Raw genomic sequence first — 15,589 nt, forward strand, 5'->3', positions numbered from 1 at the left:
TAGACTGATGCTGAGAATCTTCTGTCAAGACCTGGGCCTTAAACCTGGCCATGAAGAATTAGAGACCCCTGTTAATTCAGGATCTCACATGGCAGTAAAACATCTCACCCAGCAGCTTACACCACACCTCCCTGTTACATCTTTTATTCTTAGCATATGTAATAACAGATTCTTGTTAGGAGTAGGCACTGAATTTTATCAAGATATTTTTAGGGGCATCTATTAAAGGGATCATATAGTTTTCTTCTTTACTTTTGGGAAGTTGTGATTAATACAACTACCTTGTTTATTATATTAATAGATATTCTAATGCTGAGACATTGTTGCCTTTCAGATTAAGATTTTATTGGTGGTAATCCCTCCCCGATCTCCATCCCTTTTCTCCTCCTCCTCCTCTTTTTCTTGTTGTTGTTCTTCCTCCTCCTCCACTTCTTTTTCTTGTTGTTGTTTTTCTTCCTCCTCCTCCTACCCTTCTTCCCCTTCCCCTCCTCCTCCTCTTCCTCCTCCTCATCCTCCTTCAACAACTCCTCCTTCTCCTCCTTCTCCTTTCTTTCTTGGCTGAGCACAGTGGTTCACGGCTATAATCCCAGCACTTTGGAGACCAAGGCAGGAGGATTGCTTCAGGCCAGGGGTTCAAGACCAGCCTGGGCAACATAGGGAGACCACATCTCTATAAAAAAAAATTTTTAAAGTAGCCAGGCATGGTGGTATGCACCTGTGGTCCTGACTACATGGGAGGCTGAGGTGGGAGGATTGCTTGAGCCTGGGAGGTCAAGTCTGCAGTGAGCTGTGATTACACTACCATATTCCAGCCTGAGCAACAGAGCAAGACCCCCATTTCTAATAAATAAATTATTTAGGTGGCAAATTTAGAATTCCAGTCCAAAATGTACTTTTTGTAAAACTTTTTCTTTGGAAATAAAGATTCACAGAAAGTTGCAAAAATAGTGTACAGAGATCTGATGTACCCCTCAACCAGTTTTGTTCAATAGTTAGATCTTATCTAACTACAGTATAATAGCAAAGCCAGGAAATTGACATTGTTACAATGTGTGTATATAGTTTTATGCCATTTGTCACAAGAGTAGCTTCCTTTAACCACTGCTGCAATCAAGGTGCAGAGCTATCCCCCTCACCACAAAGACCTCCCTCATGCTACTTTTCTGTGTCACATCCACTCCACTCCCTACCGTCTTTTAGCCTTGACAACCACTAATTTGTTCTCCAACCCTATGATTTTTGTCATTTTCAGAATTTTACATAAGTGGAATCATACAGTATGTGACCTTTTGAGGCTGCCTTTTAAAAAAGACTCAATATAATGCCCTGAAACCCCATTTAAATTGTAAATGAACAAAAGTTCATTTACTTTTTATTGCTGAGAAGTATTCCAAGGTATGATGTACTAAAGTTTGTTTAACTATTCACCTATTGAAGTACATTTTTGTTTTTTTCTAGGTTTTCACTAGTACAAATAAAGTTTTTATGAACAATCATGGAAATCATGCACAGGTTTTTGTGTGAAGTTAAGTTTTCATTTCTTTGGGATAAATGCCTGGGAATGTGATTGCTGGGTCATATGGTAAATGTACATACAGTTGGCCCTCCATATCCGTGGGTTCTACATCAATGAATTCAGCCAACCATGGATCAAAAATATTTTGGGAAAAAACATAAAAATAACAATACAACAATAGGAAATAATATAAATTTTAGAAAATACAGTATGTCAACTATTGAAATAGCATTTGCATTGTATTAGGTATTGTAAATAATCTAGAGATGATTTAAAGTATGAGAGGATATATGTAAGTTATATGCAAATACTCCACCATTTTATTTTCTATTCTAACCAGGCCCAACCCTGATTCTAAGATCAGATAAGATGCGCCATTTTATATAAGGGACTTGAGCATCCATGGATTTTGATATCTGCAGGGGGACCTGAAACCAATCCCTTAAGGATAATAAGGGTCAACTGTATAGTTTTTGAAGAAACTGCTGAATTGTTTTCTAGAGTTGCTCTACCATTTTGCATTCCCACCAGCAATGTATGAGAAATCCAGTCTCTCTGCATCTTTGTCACCATTTGATGTTATTACTATTTCTTTTTATTTTGCTGTATTAATAGGTACATGGTGATATCTCGTAATGGTATTTATTTTTAATTCTCCAATGAATAGTGATGTTGGACATCTCTTAATATGCTTTTTGCATCCATGTGCTCTCTTCAGTAAAATATCTCTTCATGTCATTTGTCCATTTTCTAATTGGGTGCCTTCTTTACTGTTGAATTTTGAGAATGCTTTAACTATTTTAAGCATGAGTCTTTCATCAGATATGTGGTTTGCAAATAACTTCTTTTAGTTTTCAGTTTGTCTCTTTATTATCTGAACAGTGTCTTTCACAGAGCAAAAGTTATTATTTTTGATGGCATCCAGTTTATCAATTTTTTTCTTTTATGGATCATGCTTTTGGTGCCATGTCTAAGAATTCTTCCCCGAGTCCTAAGTACTGCAGATTTTTTCCCATTCTTTTTTTCTAAAAGGTATATAGTTTTATATTTAATATTTAATTTATTATCAGTTTTGAATTAACTTTTGTATAAGCTGTGAGGTTTTGGTTGAGGTTATCTTTTTGCATATGGAGATCCAATTGCCCCCACATTATTTGATGAAAAGAGTATCCTTTCATCACTAAATTGCTTTTGTATCCTCAAAAGTTAGTTGTTAGTGGGTTCTGTATTCTCTTTCATTGATCTATGTGTCTATCTCTCTGCCAGTAACACACATCTGGATTACTTTATCTGTATAATGTCTTAAATGGAGTAGAGTACTTTCCTTCAATTTATTCTTGTTTTTCACAGTTATTTTAGCCATTCTACTTCTTTGACTTTCCATATAAATTTTGGAATAACTTACAAAAAATATTTCTGGGATATTTATAGGAATTGTATTAAACCTGTATATCCATCTGAGAAGAGGTGACATCTTTACTATATTGAGTCTTTCATTCTGTGAACATGGTGTGTCTCTCAATTTATATTTACTTTGATTTCTTTTATTAGTGTTTTATAGTTTTTAGCATACAATTTAATGCTATGTTTTATAAAAGCAATGCTGTATTTTGTTAGTTCGCATGTACCTCCCTTTTTTGTGGAATTGTAAATGGTATTGTATTTCTAATTTTGGTTTCCATGTGGTCATTGCTAGTATGTAGAAATACAATTAATTTCTTTTGCAGACAAGTATTCTTTATGAATATTGATGTTTAAGTCCTCAAATATATACTAGCAAACCATATATGGCAGCATATTAAAAGGTTTATACACTATTACCAAGTGAGATTTATTCCTGAAATTCAAAGATGGTTAAATATATGAAAACCAATGTATATAATATATTTGTGTGTGTTGAATCAACTTTGCATCCCAGGAATAAGCCTATTTGATTGTGGCAGATTAGCTTTTCAATGAGCTGCTGGATTCGATTTGCTAGTATTTTGTGGAGGATTTTTGCATCTATGCTCATCAGGGATATTGGCCTGGAGTTTCTTTTTGTTGTTGTTGTGTCTCTGCCAGATTTTGGTATCGGAATGATGCTAACTTCATAGAACAAGTTAGGGAGGAGTCTTTCCTCCTCAATTCCTGGCAATAGTTTCAGTGGGATTGGTACCAGCTCTTCTTTATACATCTGGTAGAATTTAGCTGTGAATCCATTAGGTCCAGGGCTTTTTCTGGTTTGTAGACTTTTTATTACTGATTCAATTTTAGAACTCATTATTGGTCTATTCAGAATTTCAGTTTCTTCCTAGTTCAATCTTGGGAGGTTGTATGTTTCTAGGAATTCATCCATTTCTTCTAGGTTTTTGAGTTTGTGTGCATAGAGGTGTTTGTAATAATCTCTGAGGGTTTTTGTATTTCTGTGTGGTCAGTGGTAATTTTTTTTGTTTCTGATTTTTTTTGGATCTTCTCTCTTTTTTTTATTAGTCTAGGTAGTGGCCTATCAATCTTATTTATTCTTTCAAAAAACAAACTTTTGATTTTGTTCATCTTTTGGATGGTTTTTTGCATCTCAGTTTCATTCAGTTTAGCTCTGATTTTGGTTATTTTTTTCCTTCTGCTAGCTTTGGGGGTGATTTGCTCTGGTTTTTCTAGTTCCTTTAGCTGTGATGTTAGGTTGTTAATTTGAGACCTTTCTAACTTTTTGATATAGGCAGTTAACACTATAAACTTTCCTCTATGTCCCAAAGATTCTGATATATTGTATGTTTGTTTTCATTAGTTTCAAAGAATTTCTTGATTTCTGTCTTCATTTCATTATTTACCCAAAAGTCATTCAGAAGCAGATTGTTTAATTTCCATGAAATTATATAGTTTTGAGAGATCATCTTAGTATTGATTTCTATTTTTTTTTTTTTTCCTGAGACACAGTCTCACTCTCTTGCCCAGGCTGGAGTGCAGTGGCATGATCTTGGCTCACTGTAACCTCTGTCTCCTGGGTTCAAGCAATTGTCCTGCCTCAGCCTCCTGAGTAGCTGGGATTACAGGCGTGCACCACCATGCCTGGCTAATTTTTGTATTTTTAGTAGAGACAGGGTTTCAGCATGTTGGCCAGGCTGGTCTTGAACTCCTGGCCTCAAGGGATCTGCCTGCCTTGGCCCCACAATGTGCTGGGATTACAGGCATGAGCCACTGCGCCTGGCCGTGATTTCTATTTTTATTTTGCTGTGGTCTGAGAGTCTGGTTGGTATGATTTTGGTTTTTTTTGAATTTGTTGAGAGTTGTTTTATGGCTGAGTGTGTGGTCAGTTTTAGAGTATGTGCCATATGCAGTTAAGAAGAACATATATTTGTTGTTGGGTGGAGTGTTCTGTAGATATCTGTTAGGTCCATTTGGTCAAGTGTTGAGTTTAGGTCCCAAATACCTTTGTTAGTTTTCTGCCTCGATGGTCTATTACTGTCAGTGGGATGTTGAAGTTTCCCACTATTATTATGTGGTTATCTGAGTCTTGTTGTAGGTCTCTAAGAACTTGTTTTATGAGTCTGGGTGGTACAATATTGGGTACATATATATTTAGGATACTTAAGTCTTCTTGTTGAATTGAATCCTTTGTCATATGTAATGCCCTTTTTGTCTCTTTTGATCATTGTTTGTTTGAAGTCTGTATTGTCTGAAATAGGAATAGAAACCCCTACTCTTTTTTGTTTTCTGCTTGCTTGGTAGATTTTTCTCCATTTTTTAACTTTTGAGCCTGTGGGTGTCATTGCATGTAAAATGGGCCTCTTGACAACGGCATACAGTTGGGGCTTGCTTCTTTATCCAACTTGCCACTGTGTGCCTTTTAAGTGGGGCATTTAGCCTGTTTATGTTCAAAGTTAATATTGATATGTGTGGATTTGGTCCTGTCATGTTGTTGTTAGCTGGTTGTTATGCAGACTTGATTGTGTATTTGCTTTATAGTGTCAATGGTTTATGTATTTAAGTATGTTTTTGTAGTGTCTGGTAATGGCCTTTTGTTTCCATATATAGCAGTCCCTAAAGGACCTGTAAGACAGGTCTGATGGTAATGAATTCCCTTGGCATTTGCTTGTCTGAAAAGGATTTTATTTCTCCTTTAGTTATGAAGCTTAGTTTGGCTGGATATGAAATTCTTGGTTGGAATTTTTCTTTAAGAATGCTAATTATAGGCTGGGCACAGTGGCTCACACCTGTAATCCCAGCACTTTGGGAGGCTGAGACGGGTGGATTACGAGGTCAGGAGATCGAGACCATCCTGGCCAACATGGTGAAACTCCGTCTCTACTAAAAATACAAAAATTAGCTGGGTGTGGTGGCGTGTGCCTACAATCCCAGCTGCTCAGGAGGCTGAGGCAGGAGAATCACTTGAACCAGGGAGTCGGAGGTTGCAATGAGCCGAGATGGTGCCACTGCACTGCACTCCAGCCTGGCGACAGAGCAAGACTCCGTCTCAAAAAAAAAAAAAAAAAAGAAAAAAAAAAGCTAATGATAGGCCCCCAATTTTTTCTGGCTTGTAGGGTTTCTGCTGAAAGGTCTGCTGTTAGCCTGATGGGGTTCCCTTGGTAGGTGACCTGCCCCTTCTCTGTAATTCTCCTGTGGTTAGGTGGGATCTGCTGGAGAAGAAGCTATGGCAGCAGCTGCCAGGAAATACCTTGGTTGGGCATCCAAGGTTGTGCTGCAAGCAGGTGTGGCCAGGCAGGGACTCCGGGAGAGGCCAGCAGACAAGGAGGTGCTCAGACCAGACTGTCCCCATCCCGTGGGCAAGAATGCTCTTCTCTGTCCAATTCTGACAGTCAACAAAGGCCAAAGCCACCTAGAAGAGCATGGCAAGCCTTGGAGGATGGGTGTTTCTGGTTGTGCTCCGCTGCAACCATTCCTGTGCCAAACCCTCTGGGCTCCACACAGGCTGGAGTCCTGTCCCTGCCTCCTCTCCAAGCAGCTCTCCCTGTCAGCTCAAATGTCTGTGGAGGTGATGGAGTCTTCTGCAGCTAGGATTCTGGAGGTCTGTGGTGAGAGTGGGCCAATCCTCACCTATTTAACCCACCCTTTCCCCAGGAGCTTCTGGGTGCCAGCAGTGAGTCCTGGTGCTTGGAAACCCCATGCAGGGCTCCCAGCCTCCTTTGCCTTCAGCCCAGGGTCTGTGCTCTCCCTCTGTCCACTCTCAATGCCTTCTCTCTGAAGATCGGCTCAGAGTGTGTCCGTTTTCTTGATGGTCTGGTCTCTCAGTGGGAAATGCTCTTCCTGGCTGTGTCTAGTCAGCCATCTTGACTCTTTTCTACAATTGATTTTTGTATATAACTCTTGTAACTGCATCCTTGCTGAACTTACTTATTAGTTCTAGGAGGGTTTTTTTAATAGATTACTTGGAATTTTCTGTACAGATCATTATATTATCTGCAAGCAGGGATAGTTTAATTTCTTTCTGTCCAATATGTATTGTTTTTATTTCTTTTTCTGGCTTATTGCGCTGACTACGACTTCCAGTACGATGCTGAATAATGGTGGTGAAAGTGGACATTTTTCGCTTGTTCTTGACCTTAGGGAGAATTCATTCAGTTTTGTGCTATTAAGTATGATGTTATTTGTAGCGTCTTTGTATATGAACTTTATCAAGTCAAGGAACTTTCCTTGTATTTCTAGCTTCCTGAGAGTTTTTAGCATGGATGAATGTTAAAGTTTGTCAGATACTTTTTGGCATTGATTGATATGATTATTCAACTTTTCTTCTTTAATCTGTGTAATGGGAACAACACAGTAAAAGTTGCTGGCCTATGCCACATCCAGATGGCTGAAGCCCGTGGCTGCAGATAAGAACTTGGAGACATCTCTCTCATCTAGCAGATTGGGCTCCCTGGTTTTCCCACTACTTCCTTTAAAAGGACCATTTGGGAATTTGTCTATGAACTTAAAGTGACCCATATACCCCATTTCATTGTATTTACTGCTAGTTGCCATTCTCTCTCTTTCTTTGTTTCTCTCTCTGACCAACTCTTCATTTCTGCTTTGCCTTGTGTGCTTGTGTGATGCAGGAATGTAGGAGTGCCCTCCCTGGGAATGTAGGATTGCCCTCCTTACTCATTGCACCCTCCCTGCCCAGAATCTTTAAGTAATAAATATCTGAAGATATTTCCTATTGTGGTAGTGCACTAAATTTGCATCTTACTCTGAAGAACCAGGGGCTCCCCTGGGCCAGGTTCTCTCTGGGATGCTAGAGAAAACAGGGTTGGGTTCCCAGTGCCAGAGCAGTAGTCAAGCAGGCATAAACAGAACACAGGTCAGATATGAGCCACAAGGACCCCTGCTAATATAAACAAGTTTCCCATGTGAGGGACACCCTGGTCATAGGTCAAACAGCTAGATATTGGGTTATCTGCCAGGTAAAAGAAGTATTCTGTGAAAGACACACAGTAAATACCCATGTCAGGCTCCTCCCCATTTCTCATCAGTGCAGGGTCTCTAGCTGCTCTGCTACTGGAATCCCAGTTTAGCTGGAGTCTCTCGGAACAGTCCGTTAATATGGTTGATTGCATTGGTTGATTTTCAGCTATTGAACCATCATTGTATACTTGGAAAAAATCCTACCTAGTCATGGCGCATACTTATTTTTACATATTACTAAACTGTATTTGCTAATATTTTGTTTAAAATTTTGCGTCTGTATTCGTGACAGATCTTCCTCCCTCCCTCCCTCCCTCCCTCCTTTCCTCTTTGTATTTTCTTGGTCAAGTTTTGATAATAGTGAAACTGACCTCATAATTTGAGTTGGTCCTGTAGAATTAGTGTTAATGATTCTTTAAACATTTGGTAGGACCCTGTGTCTTCAAATTTGTTGATTCTTTCCACTGTCCTCTCCATTTTGGTATTGAGCCTATATCCATTGAGTTTTCAAATTTTGGTTATTTTTTTTTCTCTTTCTTTTTTTTTGTTTTTGAGACAGAGTCTTGCTCTGTTGCCCAGGCTGGAGTACAGTGGCAGTCTCAGCTCACTGCAACCTCCACCTCTCGGGTTCAAGCTATTCTCCTGCTTCAGCATCCCAAGTAGCTGGTATTACAGGCATGCGCCACCATGCCTGCAGGCTAAGTTTCGCATTTTTAATAGAGACAGGGTTTCCCCATATTGGCCAGGCTGGTCTCAAAACTCCTGACCTCAGGTGATCTGTCCACCTCCGCCTCCTAAAGTGCTGGGATTACAGGCGTGAGCCACTGTGCCTAGCCTGGTTATTGTGTTTTTCTGTTCTAAATTGCCATTTGGTTTTTCTTTATATATTTTGTTTATTTATTTTGCTGATACTATTTTTCATTTCCTCTAGGTGTATTCATAATTGCTCATTGAAGCAGTTTTATGATGGGTAAGTTGATCTTTGTGTTTGGTGTGAAGTAGGAATATAATTTTATTTTTTATACAGATTTTATATACAAGTACCCAAATTTCCCAGCACCTTTTATTGAAGAGTCCATCTTTTCCCTCTATTTTACAGTGCCAACTTAGCCGTTAATCAAGTATCCTTACATTAATTGTTCCCCACCTCCACCTTTAGACTATATTCTGTTCCATTGATCAATTTGCTTATTCTTGTGGCAATACCATATTCCTTATTACCATACTTTTATAATACATCTTTGTGTGGTAGAACAAATTCTCTACCTTTGTTGTTCTTCAAGTGTTTTCATGATACTTGGTTCCTTGTATTTTCATATAAAATTTAAAACCTGTTTGTCAAGTTACTTTTTAAAAGTTTTGAGATTGCATGGACTCTAGACAATTTAGAAAGAATTGATGTCATCAAATTGAATCTTCAGAGTACAACAACATTTATTTTTCATTTCTTCTTTTTAAACTTTTTATTTTGAAATAATTATAGATTCACAAAAAGTTCCAAAAATAATGGTACAGGAGACTGTACCCACTTCACTTAGCCTCTGCCAGTGGTAATATCTTATATACCTATAGTACATTATCAAAACTGGGACATCAACATTGGTAAAATCCACAGAATTTGTTCAGATTTCACCAGGTTATATACACTTGCTGTGTGTATTTTTTTTGTAATTGTATCATATGTAGATTTTCTAATCAGCATCACAATTGAGAGAGAGAACTGTTCCATTACCAAAAAGATCCCTACTGCTACTCTTCAGTCACATTTTACGCTTCTTTGATTTTTTTTTAATAAAAAACTTAATTTCTCCACTTGACAGTATATCCTGGAGATTCACCCATGTTAGTGTATACCTAATTCTGCTTAAATGCTGAACAGTTCTTTATAAAATATATTTAAGCATCTTCCTATTGATGGAATTTTAAATTATTTCCAAGCTTTTACTATTTTAGACCCTGCTGCAGTGAACATCCTAATATATGCATCCTTGTGCACATGTATAAATGCTTCTGTAGGATAGAAACAAAAGAGTATAACTATTGAATTGTAGGTCAAGCCCATCTTCTATCTTCTATTTCAGTACACGAGGCTCTCTCTTCAATGGCTATAAAATTTATAATCCCACCAGCATTTAGGAAAGGATCAGCACATTAATGAGAATGAATAAAAGATGTCCAGAATACAGAAAGAGAGTGAAATTTTAAATAAGACTGTCAAGACGAGTCTTACTGAGAAGATGGAACTGGAGCGAAGACTAAGAGAAGGTGAAATATGTGGCTGTCTGAGGGAAAGCATTCCAGGAGGAAGGAACAGCTAGTACAAAGGCTCTGAGGTGGCAGTGTGCTGGCTGCTGGGGAGGAGGCCACAGTGGCTGAAGTAGGGCGAATGGTGATACTTATGGTGGGAGATGAGTTCAGAAGGTAATGGGGGAAGGTGTAGAACATGAAGGGCCTTATAGGCCAGAGCAAGAACTTTGGTTTTCATGCAGCATGAAAGGAAGATCTTGGCAGGGTTTCGAGGCATGATGTTATCTGACATTTTTAAAAAATAAAATCAATTTGTTGAGAGAGAATTTATATTTAATAAAGGCACCCGTTGTAACTGCGCGGTTTGATTAGTTTTGACCAAGGCATATTCCTATGCACTGCCACCCTTCCATCATCCCCAAAGTCCCCCCTGCCTCTTTGCAGTCACTTTGTGGTTAATTCCTATCTTATCCCCATCTGAGGCCACCATTTTTTTTCTTATTTTTTTCACCATAGATTCATTTTGTCTACTCTAGAGCATCATAAAAATGAAATTATACAGTGTGTGTTCTTTTCTGTTGGGCTTCTTTTGCTCAACTTAATATCTGTGAGGTCATCAACGCTGCTGCTTCATCAGCAGTTCATTCATTTTTAATGATGATGCGTATATTCCCTGGTTCATGAATATACCACCATGTGTTTATCCATTTATCCACCTGTTGATGGACCTTTGGGTTGTTTCAGTTCTGAGCTATGAGGAATAAAGCCACTAATAAGCAGTCATATACAAGTCATTGTGTAGGCACATGTTTTTCCATTCTTTTGGGTAAATAAATACCTAGGAGTGGAATTGCAAGTCCATGGGTAAGGGTATGTTTAACTTTATAATAAACCGCCAAACTCTTTTCCAGAGTGGTTGAATCATTGTACATTCCCACCAACAGTGTGTGAGAATTCGCATTGCCCAACATTTTTGCCAGCAATTGTTATTGTCGATCTTTTAAACTTTTACTAATGCTGCTGAGTATGTCATGGTATTTCATTGTGATTTTAATGTGTATTTTACACGATGACTGACAATATTAAGCATCTTTTTCTGTGCATATTGGCCATTTGTATATCTTCTTTTTTGAAGTGTCTCAAGTCTTGCCCATTAAAAAAATTGAGTTGTTTATTTTTTTAATTTTTGATTTATAATTCTTTATGTATTCTAGGTATAAGACCTTTTCCAGATATATTTATAATAAATATTTTCTTCCAGTCTAGGGCTCGTCTTTTTATTTTCTTCTTGGTGTCTTTGGAGAACAAAAGTTTTTCTTAGTTTGGCTACAGGCTCGTCAATTTTGCTTATCTTTTCAAAAAAAACAGCTCCTAGTTTTATTGCTCTTTTCTACAGTTTTTCTTGTTTCTATTTCATTTATTTCTGTTCTAATCTTTATTATTTCCTTTCTTCTACTAACTTTGGGCTTCATTTGTCCTTCTTTTGCTCCTTGAGATGTAGAATTAGATTGTTTTTGGGGGGATGTTTCTTCATATTCGACGTAGCTATTTATTGCCATAAACTTCTCTGATAGAACTGCTTTTACTGCATCCCGTGAGTTTTGGTATGTTGCGTTTCCATTTCCATTTGTCTCAAGAGATACATTTTTTGATGCAGAGTCTTGCTCTGTCACCCAGGCTGGAGTGCAGTGGCATGACCATGGCTCACTGCCTTGATGTCCTGGGTTCAAGTGATCTTCCTGCCTCAGCCTCCTGAGTAGCTGGGACTACAGAATTTCTGCTTGATTTTTAAAAAATAATTTCAATCTCACTGTTAAATTTTTCACTTGGTAGTTGATTATTTTTTTATTTCATTGAATTGTTTCTCTGTATTTTCTTGAAATTTACTGAGCTTCCTTGAAACTATTATTCTGAATTCTTTGTCAGGCAGTTTGTATATCTACATTTCTTTGGGGTTGGTTACTAGGAAATCATTGTCTTCTTTTGGTGGTATTATGTCTCCATTGTTTTTCATGTTTCTTGTTGTCTTTGTACATATCTGTGCATTTGATGGAGCAGTCACCTCTTCCAGACTTTACAGGCTAGTTTTGCTGTGGAAAGACCTTCCCCTGTAGGGGAGTATGAAAGTGCTTGCTTGGTGGTGTTCAGGGATTCTGATACCAGTGACAGTGCAGCTGTGTAGTCTGTGTGTGGCACTGTAAGCCGAGGTCAGTGTTAACAAAGATTGCAGAGATCCTCAGTGGCCAATATTGTGGATGTCTATAGTGGCAGTAAGGATTGTTAGGATCTTCAGTGGCAATGGCTGCTAAGTCCTCCTGATCTCTTTTTTCCTCTCTGGAGATGTTGGTGCTGAGGGGATCCCTCTTGGCACTGGGTCTGGCTTGTAGGCCCACTCCTGGTGGCGGTGGCACTGGTGTCTGATGCATGGCACCTGTGGAGCAACCACAGTGCTGAGGCCTGAGGCACAGGCATGTGTAGAGGGACTGCAGTTGTGGGATCCAGGGTGGTAATGCCACTGGTGCCCAGGGTGAAGGCACCCCTGTTGCTGAGTTGGTGAAGATATGCAAGTTGCAGATGTTTGTGGATTAGCTGGGGAGCTGAGAATGGGAACACAGGTGTGTGCAGAGTTAGAGTGGCTCTGGGGTCCAGGTGGGGCCTAGCTCTCTATGGTAGCTGAGCTGGTGCCCAGAGAGCAAGCATAGACAGTGAAGGTTTGGCTCCTAGGCCTGGCGTGTGAACTAGCTCACTTTGGTGATGACTCCAGTGTCAGGCCCAGTACAGCCACAGAGTCCAGGTGCTATAGTTTGAATATTTGATCCTCCAAACCTCATGTTGAAATTTGATCCCTAATGTTGGAAGTGGGGCCTATTGGGAGGTGTTTGGGTCATGAGGATCCCTTATGAATGGCTTGGTGCTATCCTTGTGGTAGTGAATGAGTTCCCTATTAGTTTCCCCAAGAGCTTGTTGTCCAAAAGAGCCTGGCACCTTCTCTCTCTCCCTTGTTTCTGCTGTCACCATATGATCTCTGCATGCTAGTTGCCTTTCACCTTCCATCATGAGTGGAAGCAGCATGAGACCCTCATAGGAAGCTGAGCAGACCAGCACCATGCTTCTTGTACAGCCTGCAGGACTATAAGCCAAATAAACCTCTTTTCCTTATAAATTACCAGACTCAGGTATTCCTTTAGAGCAACACAAATGGACTAAGATGCCATCATCGGAGTGCGGGCACTCGCAGTGCAGTGTAGCTCCAGGATCAAAGAACACGTGGGCTTGGGAGAGGTAGTGGCTCCTTTCTTGAATTGGCTCAACAGTCTATCAAATTCATGGATGGGGACGGGGTGTTCAGGCATCTCTCTGTCTCTGGGGTTCTCTGGTGAGAAGGGCTGTTGGTTAGCTCAGTAGCAAGAGATGCCAGTGTCCTTTGTGGAGCAGGCCCCTGGGAATGCTGGTGGTTCACATCATGTAACTGATACCGATAGTCTTTGACTTTCTTCTTTTTAGCTACTAGTCATCTCCTGGCATCTTAGCTATGCCAGTCTCACCAGCGATATTTTTTATGTGAATATTCCCTGGATTTTTATGCTCTGCTGTATTCCTGCAGATTCTTTAATGAACCATTGAGCTCCCTCTGGACTATTTTGTTTTGTGCATAGCTGTTTATATTTGTTTTTTTGTGTGTGGTAGATAAGGGCTGGTATTTCCTACTCTGTTATCTTGGCGATGTTGCCTCTTGTATATTCTGGAGGAAAAAAGGTTTTACTTCTGATGCTCAATGTAATAAGTTTTTTTTTTTTTTTTTTTGAGACAGAGTTTCACTCTTGTTGCCCAGGCTGGAGTGCAATGGCACGATCTTGGCTCACTGCAACTGCTGCCTTCCGGGTTCAAGCGATTCTCCTGCCTCAGCCTCCCAAGTAGCTGGGATTACAGGCATGCGCCACTATGCCTGGCTAATTTTATATTTTTAGTAGAGCCGAGGTTTCTCCATGTTGGTCAGGCTGGTCTCAAACTCCTGATCTCAGGTGATCCACCCACCTCGGCCTCCCAAAGTGCTGGGATTATAGGCGTGAGCCACCGCACCCAGCCAATTTAATAAGTTTTTAAGGTTAAAGATACTGACTGGTGTCCTCTCTAAAAACTATTCACCTAACTCGAAGTTGCAAAGATTTTTCTTTCATGTTTTCTTCTATTGTTGAAAGAATGGTTTTAGCTTACAAGTTTAGGCCTATAACCTATTTAAGATTGATGTTTGTATGTGATATAAGGTATGGATTGAGACTTATTTTTAAAATATAAGTATTCAATGGTTCCAGCACTGTTTATTGAAAAGATCATCCTTTTAACACTAAACCACAGAAGCCTCTTAATTGTAAAACAATTGCTTATATATGTGAGGCTGTATTCTGAAACCTCTGTTATAGTCACCTCTTCTTATGCCAGAATCACCTTGGCTTAGTCCCTCTCAGAGCCTGATCATTTGCTCCTCACTCTTGCCTTGTTTCTGAATCTTTCCAGCTTTTGTGTGGCTGGACTGTTTCCAGCTTCTGTTCTTGAAGCTCTTTTCTTGTCTTTGATAGCAGGATTCAGCTTTTCAGTGACACATTTACAGAATCCATGCTTACTTGGGGTCATCTTAATGTTTAGTCGGAAAACCATCTATAGTAAGAGAGCTGTTAGCCTGAGCTTGTGCAGACTGTGCCTCTTCCATGCCTCCATTAGTCTCAGGAATGCTGGGAGACAAGGCTTGAGTTGGGGAATGTGAAATAAAACGCAGTATCCTATGAAGTTCTTCCCTGGTGTATTGCCACGGTTACTTTTTTGCTTTTTTGAGATGGAGTCTCGGTTTGTAGCCTGGCAGAGTGCAGTGGCACAACCTTGGCTCACTACAACCTCCACCTCCTGGGTTCAAGCGATTCTCCTGCGTCAGCCTCCCAAGTAGCTGGGATTACAGGTGCGCACCATCACACCCAGCTAATTTTTGTATTTTTAGTAGAGATGGGGTTTCACCATGTTGGCCAGGATGGTCTTGATCTCTTGATCTCATGATCTGCCTGCCTCGGCCTCCCAAAGTGCTGAGATTACAGGTGTGAGCCACCATGCCTGGCTCTTTACTATTTTTTTTTTTAAAAGGAACACAGTTAAATATTTCAAAGACATCCCAAATGAGTTATTGGTGGGGTCACAGAGGCTTCCTTTTTTTGCCACCACAGTGAAAAATCAAGAATTTTGAAAGTTAAAGCTGATTGATTATTTCTTCGGATACATAAAGAAAGATGTTAAAGCGTATTACAAAGTGCAAAAAAGGAGACATTCAGCAGAGCAAAAACAAACTCTTAGAAGAGCCCGAAGCAGCAGGCTGATTGTCTTGATGAGAGGGTGGAGAAATGAACGTGCTTCCTAGTTTTGTGGTTTTCCTGCAGTTTCTGGACACAGATCTCTGCTCCC

At 39.6% G+C, this 15,589-nt stretch overlaps 1 long non-coding RNA gene across 4 annotated transcripts in view; it reads left to right on the forward strand.

Moving 5' to 3' along the window:
* LOC105375508 (uncharacterized) overlaps positions 1-15,589 on the forward strand; it is a 119,688-nt gene that overhangs the window by 39,728 nt on the left and 64,371 nt on the right. The window contains exons 4-5 of one of the 4 annotated variants that reach the window (XR_927976.3): positions 8,829-8,867; positions 9,979-10,162. The exons of 2 other annotated variants lie outside the window; for them this stretch is intronic. This is a non-coding gene — a long non-coding RNA (uncharacterized LOC105375508). Of the gene's footprint in view, positions 1-8,828; positions 8,868-9,978; positions 10,466-15,589 lie in introns of those variants that run through there. One more of the 4 variants, XR_007060527.1, reaches the window with a different exon arrangement.

Source organism: Homo sapiens, chromosome 7 (genome assembly GCF_000001405.40).
Source record: "Homo sapiens chromosome 7, GRCh38.p14 Primary Assembly".
Classification (NCBI taxonomy): Eukaryota; Metazoa; Chordata; class Mammalia; order Primates; family Hominidae; genus Homo; species Homo sapiens.